Here is a 24,619-nt window from a genome sequence, read left to right as displayed (position 1 = left end):
CACCCCCTTAGCCCGGCTCCGGACCGAATCTGGACGTGACAGTCCTCCTGCCCAACTCCGCCCCACCTCCCCTTCCTCCCCGACTAGCTCCTCACCCCCATTTCATATTCTCCACCCCTGCCCCCACTCTGCCACCCCAAATCCTACCCACCTTTTTCTCCTCTTCCTCCCAATCGCCCTACCCTTCCACACCTGCCCCATCTCTTTACCCCAACATCTTCCACTCCCACCACTCTCCGTTACCCACCGCCCTTCCAACGCCCCTCCCGCCCCGCAGGACTCCCCAACTACCATTACACCCCAGTCCCTCCCACCACCTCGCTTTCCCGTTACATCAGCCCTCGTCCAGTCGCCCGCCCTCCTGCCCCGCTCGGCCGCTGCCCCCATTCCCCCACCCCATTGTTCGCCGCCCCCCCCCCACCCCCCCGCCAACCAGCCCTTCTTCCCATTGTCCCCGCCCCCGCGCCCCCCTCGCACTCACCCGCCTTTCTCACGGAGCCGCCCGCACCACTCAGCCCTTTGGAAATCCTCACCCTTGTGCCCCGCTCGCTCGCTCGCTCCCTCCCTCTCCCCGCCGGTGCCACCCCCCCACATCCCCGGCCCTGCCCGCTACAGCCCAACGCTGCCTCCACCTCCATGCACCCCGGACACTCCGATCTCGGCCCTTCATCGCACGTCCAGCCCTCCCTTCCCCCAACACTGAAAGAGAGCCAGTCCCCACCCCCCTCACCTCCGCCCTCCCCGCAGGCCGGTCCCTTCCCCCCACGCCCGCCCCCGCCCCACGCCGCCCGCAGCGTCACCGCCCGCCCCGGCCCCGGGAGGGGAAGGGGTGGTTCCCAGGCAGGGGCTCCCGGCGCGTTTCGGGACCCGAGGCGTGGGGCGGGGACTGCGGGAGCCGAGTGGCGAGTTTGGCAGCCGCCCGGCCCCGGCCCGCTGGCTGGCTCTCTGCTACTCACTGACAGCGGCGGCATCCGAGTGCATTTTCAGGCAGCTCACACCCGGCTCGCCGCCCAGGCTCCCGCGCTCGCCTCGCGGTCCCCCCACCAGCTCACTGCACCTCGGCTCGAAGCTGAGGACCCGCCGCCGGGCACTCCCAGCCCGCCCATCTCGCCTTCTCCATTGGCTAAACCGCGGCTCAGGGGCCGCCCTGCTGCGTCTCTCATTTGACAAAAGGAGTGCCCATAGCGCCGGTCTGGAGCTGGCAACGAGGCCCCGCCCCCCACTGGCCAATACGATTGGTCCTGGGGCCTTGTCTCCGTAACGCCCCTGGCGGAGGCCATGCTCCGGAGCAGCGGGTTGGGCCCGGCTGCTGTCAGTCACCCCCAGGGGTCCGAGAGCGCGTGTAGGGGCGAAGCTGGGAAATTGGTCCACCTTGACCCTGAAACCCCGCCCAGTGGCGGGCGGGATTGGTGGAGCTGGAGACCCACCAAGAAAGATGGGTCGGCGTCTGAAACAAAGCACGCGAAGTGTTTCCCAAAGAATAGAGCAGCGCAGCGCAGTTGGGGGCGGCTCGTACCAGCTGCTGGAAGTAGGGAAATGCGTCCGTCCCTAGCGCCCGGCGCGACGCGGCCGGGTCTCCCGCCACTTGTCCCACGACACTTGTCCAGTTCGCGCCGAACTCGGACTGGGACTTCTCTTGTCAGCTGCTTCCTACCGCAGGAAACTGGATTAAGAATTGCCGCGTCTTAATTTCCAGCAAACCTTCTGGTGGGGAGCAAATTTCCATTTCTCCTACGAAGATCCATCCTCTCCCCACTTTCGAAATGTACTTCTTTTCCAGAGTCCGCATACTTGTTTCGCAGAGTTCGCACACTTCTTTCCTCTAGTCACTAATGTCTGTTAAAGAGGCTTCGAATGCCACGAGCATTGTCCGTCACACACATCTGTATGCCCCAGACATCAGACAGAAATACAGGGCCGCGCTCTGAGCTGCGGACTGAGCCTAACACATGGACGAGTCCAGGGGGCAGACCACCAGCCCGTGAAAGACCCCCGGCGGCATCTAAGAAAACCTGTCACTCCCGCGGAGAGGCCGTCCAGAAATTGAAACTGGCTGTTATTTGGCAGAGGGAGACGTTAATTTTGGTGAATTCTTCTGACCCTAAGTCAAGAATTCGCACCATTTCCATGAGTCCTGCCCTGATTTTTCAATACTTGAAGCTAACTTATCACACCGCATTATGGTAACAGAACAATATTTCGAGATATTAACGGAGGATTCCCCCCACCCCAACCCACCCCCACCCTACCCTGCCTCCACCCTCATCCCAGCCACCAACTCCAACAACAACACACCTACAAGGCATCCCCATATCCTAAGGCCCTGGGCCATCTGGGAGCCTCAAAGAGTAGGTGACACCACAAATCACAGGTAACAGAACGCACGGTCTTTTTGGTTTTAGATTTCTACAGCCCAGGCTTTTGGGTTTCCAGGCTCTGAAATTTAGATTTTAAATCAGGACACAAATGTTATGCTATTTGGAAGGGGCTCAGACAAACCAGTTTCTGTGTCCCACAGCACTCCCATGGTAAAATGCTCCCTCCATCTTAATCGCTAATTTCTCTTTAATAAATTACATCCTTATAATACTATTTATATAATATTTTTATCATTCAAACATTTATGAATCACTTTATGGAATCTCAGAACTGTACCTGAAGTTATTTATTATTTGCTTCAGGTTCTTTCGCAAGACAAGAATCTCTCATAGAACATCCTTATTGATCACCTTTATCATGACAGTACCTCAGCGGGGCCCCACAGTGATGGGTAGGTACCTCTGGACTCTGAGATAGGGGATTGCTTGTTGGGCAGATCTAGCAGTAAGAATATCCGCCCTTACTCTGAGCAGGGAAGCTGCTCCTGCATTCTTTATTCTATTTATGTTTCAGCTTAATCTACATCTAGGAAATAATAAATTATATGTCATTTAATACAAGTTTCAAATCTTTTGTGTGTGTAATATTTATGATTTTTTTTTTTACCGTTTACCATGGTACTTCAAAGACTGAGACACATGTTATTTTGCACAGAAAAGGGCTTCCTTCGTGACACCTCTAAATTACAATAAGCCCACAATTAATTATAGCTAGTCATTTGCTCTATTAATTTATTTGCAGCATACTTTATAATAATGTGTATAAGAGTTAAGCTAGATGAAGGATGGGTCGGCTGCTTTGCCCCAGCTCCCAACACTGGCCTGGCATATGCATGGTGTCCATAAAAATTTATAGAATGTACAACCTCTGTTATTTCTCAACATTGCTTTCAGTTGAGTCAGTATGATTATTTTCAAGTAGAAAACAGACTTAGAGGTAATTTACCCAGATCTTTATAAAGAGTCAGCTATAGCCTAAGGATTGAGAGGCAAAGCTCATTCCTAGTCGGCTGACCCTCACTGCCCCCACGTTTTACAAAGTATAATAAAATGACTACATAATGCTCTGCAAATATTACCTGGTCATTTAAATAATCCACACCATATAAACCTCTGATATCAGGAAACTTGTTATAGTTATCTTTTTACTTGCCTAGCACCTAGTACAATGCTTTCAAATATTGTGGTAGGCACTGGTTAACCATACCCCTTAAAATGAATGTTTACCGTACATGAAATTTTAGATCTGGATAGGAACCTTGGTGATTATCAAATCCAACATCTTCATTTTAAAAATAAGAGACTTGACATCCAAAGGAGTTAAATGTTTAATCTGAGTCACTTGGCTAGTTGATAACAAAACAGGGCTTAAATTCAGGTTTCTCAACTCTATCCCCTGTACCACACTGTCTAATATCAAAGCTTCAAATTCCAAAGATAGGTAAACTACTCTCCCTTCCCATCTGAAAGTTACTATGCCAATCTAATACAAGTCTGCTTCATGGTTGAAATGTTGCCTTCTTTTTTATGTATTTCATTCAGGATTTTTTTCAATATGTAAATCAATACTTCACTTTTTTTTTTCTCATTTGTAGTATTCCCAAAGAACATGATCCCCATGGAGAGGTTTACTGAGATAATAATGTTATACTTCTGTACATTTATATTTGAATCCCTGGAGAAAAAAATTAATAATTGAATATCTTGGGACTGTGATGGGTAGAGATATTTGGAGATGCAGTCTTTATGCCATTTCATTTCACCCAGTTACTGCTTTAAGGTAATATTGAAGCAAGTTACTCCATGTTAATGATACCTAATTTAATTGGAATTTTTCTATTTTATTAGTCATACAATATTAATTTTAATCAGATATATTTTGAAATGCCCTAAGCCTAGATTAGAATGTGATATGGAGAAGTCTAGTAAGAGAAAAAAAACAGCAGAGCTCTTCAATCAAATGTTACGCTTTCCCCTAAATTCTGCTAAGCCCACTGTAGCATGCTTTTCCTGCATGTGTTGGGATTGGGAGTAGGAGGAAGAATAGCATAGTTCTTGAGACTGAAAATAAGTTGGGCCTGCACAGACAGATAAATGTGTCCCTGGTAAGATTTAAAGAGAATAAGAAAGAACACAGGACAGAGAGGAATTAATTTGGCCTTAGATTACAGTGAGAGAGTTGGCAGAACTCCTTTAGTAATAAAATGTCAGGCTAGGTGGGTTTCTAGTATTTGGAAATGAAAATAAACCCCCTCCGAAAGGAGAATTTATCCATAGAGGGCAGGATAGTTTTCTTTCTCCAAATATGACCAACTGAATTTGCTGTCCCAAGTGATAACAACTTCTTTCTTAATGCTTCCTATGTGACGGGCACTACTCTAATAGTACTGTACTGGTAAACTAATCTACTTAACTTCACAACAACACAGTGGAGTACTAATAACTAATAGTATCCCCAATCTACAGGTAAGTTAACTGAAGCTTCAAGAGCTTCGGTAACTTGCCACCCAGCTAATAAGTAAACGTGCCCCTAAGTAGCCAGACTCCATGTTTTTAATATTCCTGTGTTGGGCTTTAGTTTCTTTCTTTCTTTCTTCCTTTCCTTCTTTTCTTTCTTTCTTTCTTTCCTTCCCTCCTTCCTTCCTTCCTTCCTTCCTTCTCCTTTCTTCCTTCCTTCCTTCTCCTTCCTTCCTTCCTTCCTTCCCTCCCTCATTCCCTCCTTCTCTCCTTCCCTTCTTCCTTCCTTTTCTCTCTCTCTCTCTGTCTCTTTTGAGACGGAGTCTCACTCTGTCGCCCAGGCTGGAGTGCAGTGGTGGGATCTCCATTCACGGCAACCTCTGCCTCCTGGGTTCAAGTGATTCTCCTGCCTCAGCCTCTCAAGTAGCTGGGATTACAGGCACACGCCACCACACCCGACTAATTGTTGTGTTTTTAGTAGAGACGGGGTTTTGCCATGTTGGCCAGGATGGTCTCAAACTCCTGACCTCAGGTGATCTGCCCGCCTCAGTTCCCAAAGTGCTGAGATTACAGGCATGAGCCACCGCACCTGGCCAGTTCCTTCTCTTTTTAATCAGGTTAATATATGCCCCTATATACCTCAGAGATTATTTATAAGGATACAATAATATGGTTGTTAACATGCTCTCAAAAGATAGTGAAATCAGGCTGGGCATGGTGGCTCATGCCTGAAACCCCAGCACTTTCGGAGGCTGAGGTGGGTGGATCACTTGAGCCCAAGAGTTTGATACCAGTCTGGGCCAACACAGGGAGACCCTATCTCTACAAAAAAATGCAAAATTATCTGGGTGTGGTGGCAGCTGCCTGTAATCCTAGCTACTCAGGTGGCTGAGGTGGGAGGATCCCTTGAGCCCTATGGGTGGAGGCTGCAGTGAGCTGAGATCACGCCACTGCACTCCAGCCTTGGTGACAGAATGAGACCCTGCCTCAAATAAATAAATAAATAAATAAAGTGAAACCAGGCCTCTTTTTAGGGATGAACATCTAGCCACTCAGGCTCCTTTTATAGATCTATATAATGAAAAGTATGGGTCAGAAGGATTACATCCAGGTTACTAAATTCTTATTTATTTTACCCTTTTGACCTTATCCCCACAGCAAATGAGATTATTTATTCAGAGTGTCTAATGAAGCTCTGCTGAATGTTATAAATTCTCGACTTCGATATATCACTGAGAACCCAGGCTGGAGTGCAGTGGCATGATCTTGGCTCACTGCAATCTCCATCTCCTGAGTTCAAGTGATTCTTGTGGCTCATCGTGTAGCTGGGACTACATGCGTGTGCCACCATGCCCGGCTAATTTTGTATTTTTAGTAGAGACAGGTTTTCACCATGTTGGTCAGGCTGGTCTCTAACTCCTGACTTCAAGTGATCTGCCCGCCTCAAGCCTCTCAAAGTGCTGGGATTGCAGGTATGAGCAATAGTGCCTGGCCCTATACTTTTAAATTTTCTAGAAAATCCTGATATCTTTCCTCATGAAGGAGCCATCTTAGAAATCTCTCAGAAAAGCTAAGAATTTTCCAATTATATTTGACATCTGTGTTTCAGTTTTAATTTCGTTTAGCAATGATTTTTTTTTGCCTCTCCTGGATATAGAGAAAATATCATTTATTTGTAAATTATTTCTAACTTCTAAGATTTCTTTTTTTTTTTTTTTTTTTTTTTTTTTTTTTGAGACGGAGTCTCGTTCTGTCGCCCAGGCGGGAGTGCTGTGGCGCGATCTCCGCTCACTGCAAGCTCCGCCTTCCGGGTTCACGCCATTCTCCTGCCTCAGCCTCCCGAGTAGTTGGGACTACAGGCGCCCGCCACTGCGCCCGGCTAATTCTTTGTATTTTTAGTAGAGACGGGGTTTCACCGTGGTCTCGATCTCCTGACCTCGTGATCCGCCCGCCTCGGCCTCCCAAAGTGCTGGGATTACAGGCGTGAGCCACCGCGCCCGGCCTAAGATTTCTTAACACATCACTATCAGGGTAGCATTAGCAAGTCTTTTTGCTAATATTTTATTCCAGTACAGCCATAGAATTCTTAAACTGACTCTTTTCCTTTTTACTCAGGACCTTTTATTTTATGGAAATCACACCTGCCTAGGGAATTAACAAAGTATTTGAATAAAAATGTATTCATTCATTACCACATGTTCTTCTCTGAATTGAGTACTTTCACCTTATTCTGCATTGAGCTAATCAAGTCCTAATGATGCTGCATTAAATTTGATCTCAGAAGGTGCAATTTTCCAACTGAGTCTAAACAATGCATGACCTTTATGGTGTTTTTCATAAATATAGCATTGTTTCAATTACTCCAGCTAGCAGGGGCTGGACAGAAAGAATAATCATTTTATTTGGATAATGGCTTCTGTGTATTGTCAGGCTCTTAATTTCTCCTTGCCTTCTCTAGCCTGCTACCATGAATACAGTGTCTTTCTAACATCCCTCTCAGGGCAGTACAGGAGACCCCATCCATCTCCGGTTGTTGGTGGCTGCATGGCAGCTGAGCATCTCATTATGGCAAAGTGAAGCATTCTGGGAGAGTGGATGGGGAAGGCAGACAGCAATAGGAAATGGGGGAGGGAAGAGGAGGATGGGAGCTGTGGAAAATATGTGCTCACTTCCTTGGTGATGATAATGTGTTATGGAAGTAAGAACTTCCTGTCCTAGTGGGGAAGAGCATGAAGTATGTCAAAAACCCATGATTAAGCAGATTCCAGACCCTACAACCGGGTTACAGCCGCCTCAGCCACCCCGTTCTGCCCAACACTCAGATCTGAACCCCCAGTTGAATCTACCACAGGGGCTATGTTGGTGGGAGGAAAGCAATGAATCCAAGCACTGAAGAAAAATCTATGGTTCCAAAATTGAAAAAGAAATAAATTTGGACACACACACATATGTTCATCTGCAGGCACGCACACAAACACATGCAAACCACTAGCTTACCCCATTGAAAAATATTTATTTCCAACTAACCCGAATGCTTACATTTTACTTTGTTACACTGCCTCAGCTAAGACAGGTTAAAGCAAATGGTCCTTAACATTTTAGGGGTCACAGACCCCTTTTACTAATCATTCACAGTGATGATTATCAAAGGCCTGCAACCCACTCATGCTACCCCACCAGCTCCTGAGTTAAGAATTCCTAGATTAAACATTCAAGTTAACAAGTATTTTATTTTTAAAAGCCAGGGGCTTTAGGGAACAATCCATGGCTCTCAGTAATTTTGTTAGTGAGAGATTAGTTCCACTCTGTTAGCTTTCCTCCCGAGTCTGGTTGACATCTGAGCCTGCACTCAAATGATGGGAATTCTGTTAGGGGGCTGGTGGGTTAAGTGAACAGTTTCAGGCTGTGGAGCAGTGGGAGGAGGAAGGCTTGGCTTGGGGGGCCAGTATTTTAAGGCAGTGGGAAGGTACTTTACATGAAGCAAGAGAGGAGAAGAGCTCTTGGAGATGAAATGCCAAGAATAGATTTCATCTCTTTCGAAATTTTACCCAATTCCAGCTCCAAACAGGGGTCTAGTCAGAACTGCTTCTTGTGAGGCCACCCACACCCAGACACAGGTACCCCCACCCACAGTCTTCCTTTGCCATCTCTCTCATCTCATCATGGCATTCCCTCACCCTCAACCCGAGGCCCCAAGCAGCTCCTCAAGCCCCAGAAATGCCCCAGACCTCCCAGCTGCCCTGTCCCCACCCCACAGGCTAGTCTTAGCCTACAAGTCCAGCCTTGGGCCCCCACAATAGCTTCTCTCTTATTCTTTACTCTTCCATCTCACAAGCACTTTTTCTGGCTTCAAAGCACCATCACCACAACCTCAGTGGTTCCTAAACCTCCATTCACATTTTATAGCTTTAGCTTTGAGAAACATTTCAAATCCACAGATAACAGATTGGGGAATAGAAATATTGGCAAACATTTTAAGTACCACTGACTTTGTAGCAGGTACTGTCTCAAGTACTCATGTTAAGTCATTAATCTTCCCAACAATCCCAAGAGGTAGACATTTTTGTAAAACCCACTTTATGGGTGAAAACACTGAAGCACAGAGAGGTAAAGTAACTTTCTCAAAGACACACAGCTAGTAAGTGATGGAAGTCAGAGAATGAAATCCTAGCAGATGAGCTTCAGATTGGTATTTTTACTCACTGTGCTATGTTGCCTCTTTGATAACATTTTACAGAGGGCTGCTTGCCCACCCGCTACCTGCATCCCCAACACAGATTCCAAATTCTTTAATGTGAAAGCTGTGCTTTTTTTCCTAGCATCAGTAAACACCTAGCATAGTCTTTGGAGTCCAAGGCAAATCTCCTGTATTCTCTCTGCCCACCATTACAGGCAACATGAAACACAGTTTCCCCAATATCAGGGTATGGGCCTTTATTCTTTTCCTTGATAAGCAGATTAGAGGATCTGGAAACAGGACCACAAGTTGGCATATGTAAGAGTAGGTCCCTAAGTAGCAGAGTGTAGTTACAAGCAATGCGACTTTAAAGGATTGCCATTGTGCATGGATCAGACGTGCGTCATTTGCTCCCATTCTCCCACATCCTCTTTGGGAGCCTCTGCTCCCCTTTCCAGCTTCCTGTCCCGGGTGCCCAGGGCCTCTGACCATGGCTCTTGGTGGGTGGCCCTCCTGGACAGACTGCTCCCATTTTCGGGACAAGGCCCATTCTCAGCGAGTAAAGGCAAACCTCACTCTTTGTTCCCTAAACTTGTGAATAGGCTGAAGAAGATTAAAAAGAGCTTGAACAACATCCTTGAGGAAAGCCGTGGAGAAGGAGCCTGAAGACTCAGAAGGAGAATAGACTAGTGCCAAGATTATTCTATTTTAATGATCTAGGGAAGGGTATAGGGCCAGTCGGGTGTGTAAAAGCCTCATGTCCTTTCAGCATCATGAAATGGAGATGCTTCTTTCTTCCCTGCCTCCCTGAAGCACTCTCAGTTTGTGCTACTGGAGCACAAACTACCACCCCCAAAACCCCCAGCACACATACGAAGTATAGACCCCAAGGGAATCAGCCTAATTCAGACACCCTAGACATGTTTGTATTTAGGACCTATTTTGATTAACTTGCCCTTATCAAAACTTGCTTTTCCAACGTCTCATTCCCTCAGATCCTTGTGGATGATTGGCTTGCTGTTCTCGGTTAGGGGAGAAATATAGATGAGTTAAGATATTACCCCTTGCAAACAGATTTACAGCAAAAAAAAAAAAAAGAAAAAAAAAAGAAAGAAGAAAAGAAAAGAGAGAGAGAGAGAGAGAGAGAGAGAGAGAGAGAGAGAGAGAGAAAGACTCCTAACAAACAAATGGCTCAACACCAAAACCTAAAATACTTCCCCAAGCCAGGCTCCCACTCTGCAAAATCTCCCCCCTTCTACTCTTGGTATACAAATCCTCATCCACCTTGATGCCACAGCTTAAAGCTCACCTCCATTAAGCCTTCCTTGACTGAGGCTCCCCACAGTCATGTCTTTTTCCGCTTACTGCCTCCAGCACTAGAACAGAATTTTGCAGGAGAACCAGAACCAGAACCAGAACAAAAGGGAATGGAATCTTGGGGCTAGATAATCTCAGAGGTGAGCTCAGCACATTCTCCCCTTTCACAGGTGAGGAAAGGAAGACACAGAAGTGGCCAGCCTGTGGGCATCAGTGGGCTGTTTGGGGGACATCTGGAGTTGTTTCTGTTTAGCCCTCCTGTCTTTGGCTGAGAAGGACTCCTTCATCTATTGGGAAACTGTTTACTCCACCATTTATGCAACAAAGTTTTAATAGGGGTTGCCAGTCAGGGAGACTCCCACTCCCAGAGAGCATGTGATCTCAGCTGGACCAATGAACATCCTTCCCTGGAATTCTAAAAATTAGAATTAAGGAGAAGCAGCCTTCTCTGGCTGTGAGCTCATAGCTACCAGTAACCATGGCTCCCACCTCATAGAAAAAGCTAGTCTAAGAGAAATAGGCAGAAACACTCATTTCCTTGCATATTCATTTCATTCATGAAACAACCATTATTTATCCAGGGCCTTCAATGTGTCAGACACTGTCCTGGGCTCTAGGCATTATACATTGAGCAAGAATGGACCCAGTTGCTGCCCTCATGGGGCTTGCCTTAAATAATCATGTAAGCAAAGTAAAACTACCATTTTAACAAGTAGTGAGATGAAAAAGTGCACAGATTTTTTTGAGAGCTATGGAATCTGGCTCAGTTGCTGTATACAGTTGTGCAATTTGTGCACTGCACAAAACAGCATGAGCCAAGGGGCCAAGTGGGCTGAAATGTCATACTCTGCTCATCAAGCCAAGAGCCCTGGCGAGAAGCTGTGTTTGCTCAGAAAAAGGGGCACTCTGTTTTTCACATACTGGCACTGTCTAGCCAAAGGGATCACCTTTTTCTAATTTGCCCCAAACACTTGAGTGGAACAGCCAGGAATCTGGGTGTGATCCAGTCAGGGAGTTGAGTGGTAGGAGGGGGAGGCTTCACTGAGGAGGTGACTGGAATCACATGAACAATGAGCAAAAGATAAACTAAGTTGGAGGAAAGAGCTTTCCAGACACAGGGAACAGCCTATGCAATGGCCTTGTCTTGATGATGACTTTCTAGCCCCTGGTTTCAATCACTCCCAAGGCCTGGCCAATTCTCTGGCCTTCCAGGGCATTGGTCTCATGGCAATCCATCCCCCTCTGTAGTTCAAGTTAGGTTTCTGTCCGTTGAAACCAGGAAAGTCACAGCTCATAGAGCAAAACTTGTCCAACTCTCTTTCCTCCCAAGTCCAGGGAGCCTCCATTATCTCTACCAGACCCCTTCCTTCCATGATAGAAACTTCTACTCTGTATGACTTGCTCTCCTTTAGGGCAAGAACTCTATTGTTGATGATTTAGCACTGTCTCTAGCAGATAATAGAAGCTCAATAAACATTTCACAAATCAAGATTTGACAAATTCTTTGCTAGTAGTCATTTCATCCACCATGGCTGGACGATGTGGTGAAGTACTGAGGGATAGGTTGGCTTTTCTGTACTTCTCTCATCACCCTCCAAATTCATCCACAGGTTTCTACTGGTACTATTTCTATACGCAGTCTCGGGCTTATACTTATGTTAGTAGATGACTCTGATTTGAGTCTGATGACTCTAGAATTTGTCTATGGATAGCTAGAGTGGTTGATTTCATGAGGAAAAGAGTCTGCAGCTTTTATTCTGTCTCAGTATGTTGAGTGCCAGTGGGCCACCTTTAGGTTAAGGTGTTTTCCAGATCTGAAAGTCTATTGCTGAATGTTAAAGATGACTTTCACTCTGTGCTTAATATCCACTAGGGCCCTGTCTAGAGGTGTCAGGCAACTTGAAATCCTCTGTGGTTTTGTCATCCAACAACAGTCTGCTTTCCCATTGGTCTCTGTATTATTCTTAGATTAAAGGCAATCACTCTTTGCGGCATATCCTTCCCCTGCAACTCCAGGGCCTGAAGAATTTCAGCTTCTTATCGCATCTCATGCTGTTGCTGCTGCTGCCACCACCATTGCTATTAGTTTTGTTAAAGAAGCTGGTGTTTGAAGCTTTTTGTTAAAAAGGCTGGTATTTGAGCTGGTGTTTGAGACTCATGTCCCTTTTTAATAAGCCGGACTCTATTGGCTGAGACCCAGGCTGACCTACAGAGGCTGCTGAATAAACCGATATTTGGGCATAAGAATCATAGAATTAGGTTGCTATTCTTCCCAGAATCTTGGGACCCAAGGGTTTCGAGAGTATCTTTCATTCTTTTCACAATTCATCTCATAAGAGGATAAACATGAAGACAATGCTTCCATCAGATTCTGTTCACACTTTCTCCCCCAAGACTATAGAACCAGCAAATCTATTGAAACCGGGTGGTGGGGGTTGCAAAAAGATGGTACACCTACATTTTGCAATGAAATAGCCAAGGTTTGATCTTGGCTCTTCCACCCAACAGAGGACATTGTTATATGGCCTTTCCAGGCAAGATTTTCTGTCTCTAAAATGGCCCAATGGCGCCACCTGCCTCACAGGCCTGTTGTGGGGACTCAAACAGACAATGCATAATGCGAAAGACAGGATAATGGCAAAGGAGACTGTAGATGTGATTAAGGACCCTGAGCTGGGGAGGTTATCCTGGATTCTCACTGTGGGCCTCATGCAATCACAAGTGTCCTTAGAAGTGAAGGAAGGAATCAGAGAAGAAGATGTGATAAAGTCAGAGTAAGGCGATTGCTGGAAGGAGCCAGGAGCCAAGAGCCAAGGAACGTGGTGACCTCTAGAAACTGAACAGGGCAAGGAAACAGATTTCCCCTAGAGCCTCCAGAAGGAACACAGCCCTGACAACACCTGGATTTAATCCCATGAGAGCCATTTTGGGGTTCTGATTCAAGAACTGTAAGACAATGAATATGTGCTGTTTTGAGCCACTAAAATTTGCGGTAATTTGTTATAGCAGTCATAAGAAATTAATACGGCATGTAAAACACTTATTCAGGTACCTGATAAAATTTCATAAGTTGTTGTGGCTTTCACTATTATTTTTGTTTCCTTTAGTCAGATCACTTTTGTTATAAATGATAAAAGTTCAACCTGTATAGCTTAGGTAAAAAAGGAGTAATCAAAACAAAGCAAAACAGGTATGCTAATAGAAGAAAACTTATTTATTGAGCACTGGCCCTGACATTGAGAGAGGGGCCCCAGTGGCTTGCCTGGGATCATGTAAAACAAAAAGCAGATACTCTTGCCCAGGACTTTTCACTTTTACAACGTGGTGCAAAGGTACAAGAGTGTATTAGAGATCGTCACTTGACTCCAGCAAAGTTGAGAGTCTAACAGCAACACAGAGAATTCAGAAGCAGCAGAGTCCAGCATTATGCAGGAAGTGTCTGGAGCACTGGCCTGGTGCCAGTGGCAGCATCCTAAGTGACCCATCTCTGTGGCAGGACTTAAATTATGCTCTAAACTGCTTGGTTCTTGCATAAGCTAGGGTTTTCAAACTTTCCATGCTTTCTATGAACTCCCCAGTGCTCTCCCACTAAATGAATCATCTGTATAAGTTAACCAGAGTCACTTTTGTTGTGTGCAACCAAGAATCTTGCCAAGTTCAGCAGACACAATCTAGTCTCAGGGTCAACTTGATCTAGGAACCGGAACACAAAGGGATTCCTCTCACTGTCTTGTTTCCACTTCTATGTATGTTTTGACTTGTTTTGGTTGTGATGGTGGTTTTGAGTTTTTTTGTGTGTGTGGTTTCACACACTTCTCATTTTGGTAAGGATATATTATCTTGCAGTTTAGGGTCACTCTTTAAAATGTGTGATCTCAGGATCTTGATTGGCAGGGCTTAAATCATGTGCGTATATCTAAGCCTATGGCACAGCAGGGGATGGAATAGAATTGGCCAGGACTGAATCATATAACTTCTTCTGGGGCCATTGGGTACTATGATTGGGAGCCCCAAAGGAACAACATAAAGTTAGTAAAGAAGGGGCAGTACTCCAAAGAAGGCATGAGGCTGTTTCCAGAAGAATAGAGGAAAGAAATGCTAAGCAGGAAATTTTTTTAAAGATGTCACTTTGTAATTGTTATTGTTATTTTATGACAATGCATTCATTTGTTTTAACAATACTTGTTGAGCACTTGCTATGTACCAAGCACTGTGCTAGACTCTAGGGATACAGCAATTAGCAAAACAGATAAAAAGTCATGTATAGAAATTCAAGGAACCCTGAAAAGGCAAAACAATATTGAAAAATAACAACAAATTTGGAAGCTCACACTTTCAGATTTTAAAACTTACTACAAATCTACAGTAATCAAGATGACGTGTTACTAGCATAATGATAGACATGTAGATCAATAAGATAAGACTCAGAGCACAGAAATAAAAATGTAAGCATTTATGGTTGATTGATTTTTGACAAGGCTGCCAAAACAATTCATCAGAGAAAGAATAGTCTTTTCAATAACCAGTGCTGGGACAACTGGATATCCACAGGCAAAAGGATAAATTTGCCTTGCTACCTCACACCATATACAAAAAATAACTCAAAATGGATCATTGACTTCAGTGTACGAGCTAAAACTGTAAATAAAGGCTTATAAGAAAACGTAGGCATACATTTTTTTGTGAACTTGGAATAGGCAATGGTTTCTTAGATATAATACCAAAAGCACAAGTGACACAAAATATACAGATAAACCGAACTTCATCAAAATTAAAAACTTTTGTGCTTCTAAGGACACCATGAGGAAAGTAAAAAGGCCATGCACAGAATGAGAGAAAATGTTTGCAAATCATATATCTTGCAAGGTATTGGTATTATGAACATATAAAGAACTCTCACACCTCAACTTTAGAAAGACAACTAGCTCAATTTCAAAATGGGCAAAGGACCTGAATAAACACTTCTCCAAAAAATATACACAAATGTCCAATAAGCATATGAAAAGTTTCCCAGTATCTTACTTATTAGGAAAGTGCAATTCAAAACCTCAGTGGGACACCCTTTCATACTTACTAGGATGGCTCTAATCAAAAGACAAATGATAACAGGTCTTGGCAAAAGTGTTACAGGCCAACACATCTGGGAGAAATTGGAACCCTTATACACTGCTAGTGAAAATGTAAAATGATAAAGCAGCTTTAGAAAGCAATTTTTCAAAAGATCAAAAAAGACAAGGCCGTTACATGATGACAAAGAGTTCAATTCAACAAGAAGATATAACTATACAAAATATATATTCACCCAACTCAGGAGTACTGAGATTCATAAAGCAAGTTCTTAGAAACCTACAAAAAGACTAAGACTCCCACACAACAGTAGTAGAAGACTTCAATACCCCATAGACAATATTAGACAACTCATCATGACAGAAAATTAACAAGGATATTCAGGACCTGAACTCAGCACTGGATCAAATGGACCCTGATAGACATCGACAGAACTCTCCACCCAAAAGCAATAGAATATGAATTCTTCTCTCAGTCACATGGCTCATACTCTAAAATTAATCACATAATTGGGCAGAAAACATTTCTCAGCAAATGCAAAAGAATTGAAATAATAACTACTATTTGAGACCACAGTGCAATGAAATTAGAAATCAAGACTAAGAAATTCATTCAAAACCATATAATTACATGGAAATTGAATAACATGCTCCTGAATAACTTCTGAGTAAATAATGGAATTAAGACAGAAATCAAGAAGTTCTTTGAAACTATGAGCACAAAGCTACAACATACCAGAATCTCTGGGACACATGTAAGGCAGTGTTACAAGGAAAATTTATAGCACTAAATGCCCACATCAAAAAGCTTAAAAGATCTCAAGTTGAAAACCTAACATCACAACTGAAAGAGCTAGAGAACCAAGAGCAAACAAATTCCAAAACTGGCAGAAGAAAAGAATGAACCAAAATCAGAGCTGAACTGAAGGAGATTGAGAAACGGAAAACCATTCAAAAGATCAGTGAATCCAGGAGCTGGTTTTTTGAAAGAAATTAATAAACTAGACCACTAGCTAGACTAATAAAGAAGAAAAGAGAGAAGGTTCAGATAAACACAATCAGAAACAATAAGGGGGATATTACCACTGACCCCACAGAAATACAAACAACCATTAGAGAATATTATGAAGATCTCTATGCACATAAACTAGAAAAATCTAGAAGAAATTGATAAATTCCTGGCACATAGACCCTCCCAAGACTGAACCAGGAAGAAATTGAATCCCTGGACAGACCAGTAATGAGCTCTGAAATTGGGTCAGTAATAAATAGCCTACCAACGAATAAAAGCCCATAACCAGACAGATTCACAGCTGAATTCTACCATATTTACAAAGAAGAGCTGGTATCATTCTTTCTAAATCTATTCCAAAAAATTGAGCAGGAAAAACTCTTCCCTAACCCATTCTATGAGGCTAGCATCATCCTGATACCAAAACCTGGCTGAAACACAACAAAAAAGAAAACTTCTGACCAATATTCTTGATGAAGATCGATGCAAAAATCCTCAACAAAATACTGGCAGGCTGAATCCAGCAGCGCATCATAAAACTTACCCACCATCATCAAGTAGGCTTCATCTCCAGGATGCAAGAATGGTTCAACATACATTAATCAGTAAATGTGATTCATCACATAAACAGAACTAAAGACAAAAACCAATGATTATCTCAATGGATGCAGAAAAGGCTTTCAATAAAATTCAACACCTTTCAGGGTAGAAACTCTCAATTAACTAGGTATCGAAGGAACATACCTCAAAATAATAAGAGCCATCTATGCAAACCCACAGCCAATATCATATTGAATGGACAAACGCTGGAAACATTCCTCTTGAAGCCCAGCATAAGATGGGGATGCCCTCTCTCGCCATTCCTATTCAACACAGTATTAGAAGTCCTGGCCAAGGAAATCAGGCAAGGGAAAGAAATAAATGGCATCCAAATAGAAACAGAGGAAGTCAGATTATCCCTATTTGCAGATGACATAACTGTATATCTAGAAAACCCCATGGTCTCAGCCCAAAAGCTCCTTAAGCTGATAAAGAACTTCAGCAAAGTCCCAGCATGCAAAATCATTGTGCAAAAACCTCAAGCATTCCTACATATCAACAACAGTCAAGCTGAGATCCAACTCTGAAATGCAATCCTATTCACAACTGCCACACAAAAGTAAAATACCTAGGAATACAGCTAACTAGAGAGGTGAAGGATCTCTACGATGAGAATTACAAAATACTGCTCAAAGAAATCAGAGATTACATAAACAAATGGAAAAACATTCCAAGCTCATGAATGGGAAGAATCAATATCACTAAAATGGCCATACTACCCAAAGCAATTTATAGATTCAATACCATTCCTATTAAATTACCATTGACATTCTTCACAGAAGTAGAAAAAAACTATAATATTTTTAAATTCATATGGAACTAAAAAAGAGCCTGAGTAGCCAAGGAAATTCACACAAAAAGAACAAAGCTGGAATTATCACACTACCTGACTTCAAACTATGCGACAGGCCTACAGTAACCAAAATATTATGGTAGTGGTACAAAAACAGACACATAGACCAAGGGAACAGAATAGAGAACACAGAAATAAGGTTGCATACCTACAACTATCTGATTTTCAACAAAAATAAGCAATGAGGGGAGGATTCTCTATTCAATACATGGTGCTGGGGTAACTAGCTAGCCATATGCAGAGGATTGAAATTTGACCCCTTCCTTACACCATATACAAAAATTAACACAAGATGGATTAAAGACTTAAATGTAAAACCCAAACTATAAAAACTCTGGAACATAACCTAGGCAATACTATTCTGAACCTAAGAATGGGAAAAGATTTCTTGACAAAGACACCAAAAGCAATGCAACACAAGAAAAAATTGACAAGTGGGATCTAATTAAACTACATAACTTCTGCACAGCAAAGGCAGTGATCAACAGAGTGAACAGACAACCTACAGAATGGGAGAAAACATTTGCAAACTGTGCATCTGACAAAGGTCTAATATACAGCATCTATAAAGATCTTAAATTTACAAGGAAAAGAAAAACAAACAAACCCATTAAAAAGTGGGCAAAGGACATAAATAGACACTTTGAAAGAAGACATACACGTGGCCAATAATAATATGAAAAAAAGCTCAACGTTACTGATCACTGGAGAAAGGCAAATCAAAACCACGATGAGATACCATCTCACCCCAGTCATAATAGTTACTATTAAAAGTTAAAAAATAACAGATGCTGGCAAGGTTGTGGAGAAAAAGGAATGCTTATACACTCTTCGTGGGAGTGTGAGTTACTTCAACCATTGTGAAGACAGTGTGGCAATTCCTCAAATACCTAGAAACAGAAATATCATTCAACCCAGCAATCCCATGACTGGGTATATACCCAAAGGAATTTAAGTCGTTCTATCATAAAGACACCTGTGTGTGTACATTCATTGCAGCACTATTCACAATAGCAAAGACATGGAATCAACCATAAATGCTCATCGATGGTAGACTGGATAAAAAAAATGTGGTACATATACACATGGAATACTGTGCAGCCATAAAAGAAGAATGAGATCATGTCTTTTGCAGGGACAGGGATGGAACTGGAGGCCATTATCCTTAGCGAACTAACGCAGGAACAGAAAACCAAAGTCCACATCTTCCCACTTAGAAGTGGGAGCTAAATGATGAGAACACATGGACACATAGAAGGGAACAATATATATTGGGGCCTATCAAAGGGTAGAGGGTAGGAGGTTGGAGAGGACTGGGAAAAATGGCTAATGGGTACTAGGCTTAATACCAGGGCGATGAAATGATCTGCACAACAAACCCCCATGACACTAGTTTACCTACCTATATAACAAACCTGCACATGTGCCTCTGAACTTAAAATAAGAGTTAAATTTTAAAAAACAGTTTTTCAAAAGTTTAAACATAGAGTTATCATATGCCCCTGTAATTCCTCTTAGACCTAGGCCTAAGTCAATGAGCTCATTGAATTTCTTTGGCCATTGTAATTGGTTCAGTGACAGGCACATGACTGAAGTCAAGTCAGTCAGAGCCAGCATGTATTTGAGGTACTCGAGTCTCCATCTCTCCTTCTGTATTAAACCTGGAAGAGCTACCTGAGCCATCTTGCCCTTAGAAAGGAAAACCTGTCTAAGAAGAGAGTCAATCCAGCAGAGGGCAGAGCCAAGAGACAGAAAGAATGAAACTGCATCCATATGAAATAATTGAGAACTTAGTACATTAGGTTGGGATTTAAGAGTCTTAACGCAATAAAAAACAGTCTTAAACAATGCAGTTTAAGCCATTAAGTTTACAGAAGTAGTTTCCCTTAATACTTTAAACTTCTGATAGAAATGTCAGCAGGCTGTGTTGAAGGCTATTCAAACACTATCTTTTTAATTACAGGAGACTTCCTATTCATGTTAGGTTAGTTGGTATCCTTCGTTGCCATTATTTCATACCTCTGTACCAGTTTTTGGTACCCAGGAATAAGAAAGACATAATCCTATTCTTGAATCTAGACACTTGGTCTAAAAAAGTGGTTCTCAATCATTTTTCTGTCATAATACACATAAAAAATTATGTTCCCATGAGCAACTTGTTCCTAAAGACTTATTAAGATCAGGAGTGCTGCAATATATATAGCATAGGTTTTTATGTATACAGGGCCCTAACCAAGTCTCCACTCAAGAATATGAGAATACAAGGGAGTGAAATTGAAGTTAATATAAAGATAATTTTAAATCTATCTAATTTATTTAGAAAAAATACAATTCACATGAGAGAAAATATTTACAAATCACATCCGACAAGGACCTGGTATCCAGAATACGTAAAGAATTCTTACAATTCATCAACAAAGAGACAACAAGATTTTATAATGGACAAAGGAATTGAATAGACATTCATCTAAGAAAGATATACAAACAAACAATAAGCAAGTGAAAAGATGCCCAAAATTATTGATTATTAGGAGAAGGCAAATCAAAACCACAAGGAGATACCACTTTATACCCACTTAGATGGTTATAATTGAAAAAACAGAATATAACAAGTGTTTGTAAAGATGTAAAGAAATTATAAGCCTCATCTCTTCCTGGTGAGAATGTAAAATGGTTCAGCCACTGTGGGAAATAATTTGGGATTTCTTTTAAAATTTAAACATAGAATTACTATTTGACCCAGCAACTTCACTCCTAGGTACATACCCCAAAGAATTTAAAACAGGCACTCAAGCAATTACTTTTACATGAATAGCAGCACTTTCACAATTGCCAAAAGGTAGAAACAACCCAAATGTCCATGGATGGATGAATGAATAAACAAATTGTAATATATACATGCAATGGAATATTATCAGCTATAAAAAGGAATGAAGTCGTGCTACAATGTGGATGAACCTTGGAAACATTTTGCTAAGTGAAAGGAGCAAGACACAAATGGTCACATATTGTATAATTCTATTTATATAATACATTCAGAACAAGTAAATCCATAGAAACAAAGAATGGATTGGTAGTTGTCAGAAGGGGTGGGGTGTAACTGCTTAACAGACACAGGGTTTTATTGTAGGGTGATGAAAATGTTTTGGAACTAGATAGAGGAGGTGATTGTACAACATTGTGAATATACTAAATGACATTGAATTGTTTACTTTAAAATGGTTAATTTGATGTTATGTGAATTTCACCTCAATAAAAACATAGTAAAGCATTAAAACATAGGCATTTATGATATAAATAACCTACTAATTTATATCTGTGTCAAGACATTATAAAGTGCCCTCCCATGAAAATATTACTACTATTTCTCTTTTGTTTAATTCTCAACTAAATGCCTACCACTGTGTTTCGCATACCAGTGAATGATTGTTGTGTAAGTGTGTGATTTTTAGATATACAGTTCATTCTGCTTCCTCTTCTGTCAACTGGCTTATCTTGAAGAAGATATCATTCTCAATTGTCTTATTTGAATTGTCAATCCTATTTCATCCACTCTCAAAGATATCTGTAAAGTCTTTCTCCCATGTCTTTAACATCTCAAGCCCATTTTATTTATCATCGTGACTCTATGCTCCTGTTAGATTCTACAACAAGAGTGTTTTCAACCTTCTGAATAAAAAGAAAGGTATAACTCTGTGAGATGAATCAACACATCACAAAGCATGTTCACAGATAGCTTCATTCTGGTTTTTATTGTGGGATACTGGATTTTCATTCTAGGCCTCATAGGGCTCCCAAATGTCCCTTCACGGATTCTACAAATAGAGTGTTTCCAACCTGCTGAATCAAAAGAAAGTTTTAACTCAGTGAGATGAGTGCATACATCACAAAGCATTTTCACAGATAGCTTCTTTCTAGTTTTATCACAGGATATTCAGTTTTTCACTGTAGGCCCCAGTGGGTTCCCAAATGTCCCTTCACAGGTTCTACAAGAAGAACATTTTCAACCTACTGAATCAAAAGAAATGTTTGACTCTATGAAGTGAATCCACACATCACAAAGTGTTTCCACAGATAGCTTCCTTCTAGTTTTTATCATGGGATATTCAGTTTTTCACTATAGGCTTCAATAGGCTCTCGAATGTCCCTTTGCAGATTCTAGAAAAAGAGTGTTTCCAACCAGCTGAATCAAAAGAAAGATTTAACTCTGTGAGTTGAATCCACACACAGCAAAGCATTTTCACAGGTAGCTACTTTCTAGTTTTTATTGCAGGATATTCGTTTTTTTACTGTAGGACTCAATAGGCTCCCAGATGTCCCTTCGCAGATTCTACAAAAAGAGTGTTTCCAACCTGCTGAATCAAATGAAAGGTTTAACTCTGTTTGATTTATCCACACATTGCAAAGCATTTTCACAGATGGCTTCTTTCTAGTTTTTATTGCAAAATATTCCATTTTTCACTGTAGGCCTCTATGGGCTCCCAAATATCCCTTTGCACATTCTACAAAAAGATTCCAACCTGTTGAATCAACAGAAAGGTTTAACTATGTGAGATGAATCCACTCATTGCAAAGCATTTTCACAGGTAGATTCTTTCTAGTTTTTATCACCGGATATTTGGTTTTTCACTATAGGAATCAATAAGCTCCCAAATGTCCCTTCACGGTTTCCACAAAAAGAGTGTTTCCAACCTGCTGTACCAAAGGAAAGGTTTAAATCTGTGAGATGAATTCATACATTGCAAAACGTTTTCACAGTTAGTTTCTTTCTAGTTTTTATTGCAGATATTTGATTTTTCACTACAGGTTTCAATGGGTCCCCAAATTTCCCTTCATAGATTCTACAAAAAGAGTGTTTCCAACATGCTGAATCAAAAGATAGGTTTAACTCTGTGAGATAAATCCACCCATCACAAAGCGTTTTCACATCTTCTTCCTTTTAGTTTTTATCTCAGGATATTCATTTTTTCATCATAGGCCTCAATGGGCTCCCAAATGTACCTGCACAGATTCTACAAAAAGAGTGTTTCCAACCTGCTGAATCAAAAGAAAGTTTTAACTCTGTGAGATGAATCCACACATCATACAGCACTTTCACAGATTCCTTCTTTGTGGTTTTTATCACGGGATATTGGTTTTTCACTGCAGGCCTCAATGGGCTCCCAGATGTTCCTTCGCAGACTGTATAAAAAGAGCGTTTCCAACCGGCTGAATCAAAACAAAGGTTTAACTGTGTTTGATTTATTCGCACATTGTGAAGTGTTTTCACAGCTAGCTTCTTGCAAGTTTTTATCACAGGATATTTGTTTTTCACTGCAGGCCTCAATGGGCTCTCAAATGTTCCTTCGCAGACTGTATAAAAAGAGCATTTCCAACCTGCTGAATCAAAACAAAGGTTTAACTGTGTTTTATTTATTCACACATTGCAAAGTGTTTTCACAGCTATCTTCTTTCAAGTTTTTATCATGGGATATTCAGTGTTTCACCATAGACCACAAAGGGCTCCCAAATATTTCTTCACAGATTCTACAAAAAGAGTGTTTCCAACCTGCTGAATAAAACGAAAGGTTTAACAATTTCATTTCTTCACACATTGCAAAGGATTTTCACAGATAGCTTCTTTCTAGTTTTTATGGCAGGATATTCAGTTTTTTACTACAGACCTCTATGGGCTCCCATGGGTCCCTTCACAGGTTCTACAAAAAAAGTGTTTCCAACTTGCGGAGTCAGCAGAAAAATTTAAATCTGTGAGATGAGTCCACTCATTGCAAAGTGTTTTCGCAGATAGTTTTTTTCTAGATTTTATTGCTGGATATTTGGTTTTTCAATAGGGCTCAGTAAGCTCCCAAATGTACCTTCACAGTTTCCACAAAAAGAGTGTTTCCAACCTGCTGAATCAAAAGAAAGGTTTAACTCTGTGAGATGAATGCACACATCACAAAGCATTTTCACAGATTGCTTCTCTTTAGTTATTGCAAGATATTCATTTTTTCACTATAGGCCTCAATGGGCTTCCGAATGGCCCTGCACAGATTCTACAAAAAGATTGTTTCCCACCTGTTGAAACAAAAGAAAGTTTTAACTCTGTGAGATGAATCCACACATTGAACAGCACTTTCACAGATAGCTTCTTTATAGTTTTTACAGTGGGATATTGGTTTTTCATCACAGGCCTCACTGGGCTCCCAAATGTTCCTTCGCAGATTGTACAAAAATAGTTTTCCAACCTGCTGAATCAAAAAGAAGTTTTTACTCTGTTTGATTTATTCAAGCATTGCAACATGTTTTCATAGCTAGCTTCTTTCAAGTTTTTATTGCAGGATATTTGGTTTTTCACTATAGGCCTGCTGAATCAAAAGAATGATTTAAATCTGTGAGATGAATCCACACGTCACAAAGCAGTTTCATAGATAGCTTCTTTCTAGTTTTTATCTTGGGATATTGGACCTCCTCTTAAAAATGTTAATAAGCCTCCAGAAATTGGGAGGTGAGAAACCTCTAATACGAGAGGTTTGACCCCCTCTTAAAAGCCTTAGTGAGCCTACAGAAAGAGGGGGTTAGACACCTCTAATAGGAGAGTTTGGAGCCTCCCCCACCACATGGCCTCTAAGGTGGGGAATGTTTCAAATAAGACAGGAAAACTAAGGAGTCTAGATAGTGACAAAATTCCTTCTGATAGCCTCTTGGGGCCTATGCTGAAGTATTGGAAAGATAATGAGAGAACCAAGTATGAATGAAAACAGCAGATGATAAAATATT

General features: G+C 41.8%; 1 protein-coding gene across 17 annotated transcripts in view, besides 4 other annotated features; it reads right to left on the bottom strand.

The window, feature by feature from the left end:
- The window catches only part of DCUN1D4 (defective in cullin neddylation 1 domain containing 4), an 82,954-nt gene extending 72,614 nt beyond the window's left edge, over nucleotides 1-10,340 (bottom strand). For 7 of the 17 annotated variants that reach the window (XR_007096386.1, XM_047449873.1, XM_047449874.1 and 4 more), the window contains exon 1: nucleotides 482-645. Coding sequence is in view for 8 of the 17 variants with exons in the window: in NM_001287755.1 (NP_001274684.1) it covers nucleotides 482-638 (157 nt within the window). In the remaining 9 variants the exon portion in view is untranslated. Of the gene's footprint in view, nucleotides 1-151; nucleotides 224-481; nucleotides 653-956; nucleotides 1,072-10,321 lie in introns of those variants that run through there. The other 10 variants (XM_047449872.1, NM_001287757.2, NM_001040402.3 and 7 more) reach the window with 5 other exon arrangements.
- Nucleotides 514-593: a silencer, noted in NCBI's record as "silent region_15419". NCBI's record gives its function as "represses an Ori minimal core promoter by ATAC-STARR-seq in GM12878 lymphoblastoid cells {active_cell/tissue: GM12878}" and the evidence as "EXISTENCE:reporter gene assay evidence [ECO:0000049][PMID:35858748]".
- Nucleotides 694-1,043: a silencer, noted in NCBI's record as "silent region_15418". NCBI's record gives its function as "represses an Ori minimal core promoter by ATAC-STARR-seq in GM12878 lymphoblastoid cells {active_cell/tissue: GM12878}" and the evidence as "EXISTENCE:reporter gene assay evidence [ECO:0000049][PMID:35858748]".
- Nucleotides 1,134-1,183: a silencer, noted in NCBI's record as "silent region_15417". NCBI's record gives its function as "represses an Ori minimal core promoter by ATAC-STARR-seq in GM12878 lymphoblastoid cells {active_cell/tissue: GM12878}" and the evidence as "EXISTENCE:reporter gene assay evidence [ECO:0000049][PMID:35858748]".
- Nucleotides 1,194-1,343: a silencer, noted in NCBI's record as "silent region_15416". NCBI's record gives its function as "represses an Ori minimal core promoter by ATAC-STARR-seq in GM12878 lymphoblastoid cells {active_cell/tissue: GM12878}" and the evidence as "EXISTENCE:reporter gene assay evidence [ECO:0000049][PMID:35858748]".
- Nucleotides 10,341-24,619: the final 14,279 nt, after the last annotated feature.

Source organism: Homo sapiens, chromosome 4 (assembly GCF_000001405.40).
Source record: "Homo sapiens chromosome 4, GRCh38.p14 Primary Assembly".
NCBI classification, from domain to species: Eukaryota; Metazoa; Chordata; class Mammalia; order Primates; family Hominidae; genus Homo; species Homo sapiens.
Note: the sequence above shows the minus strand (reverse complement) of the source record. Positions and strands in the feature narration are given on the sequence as shown.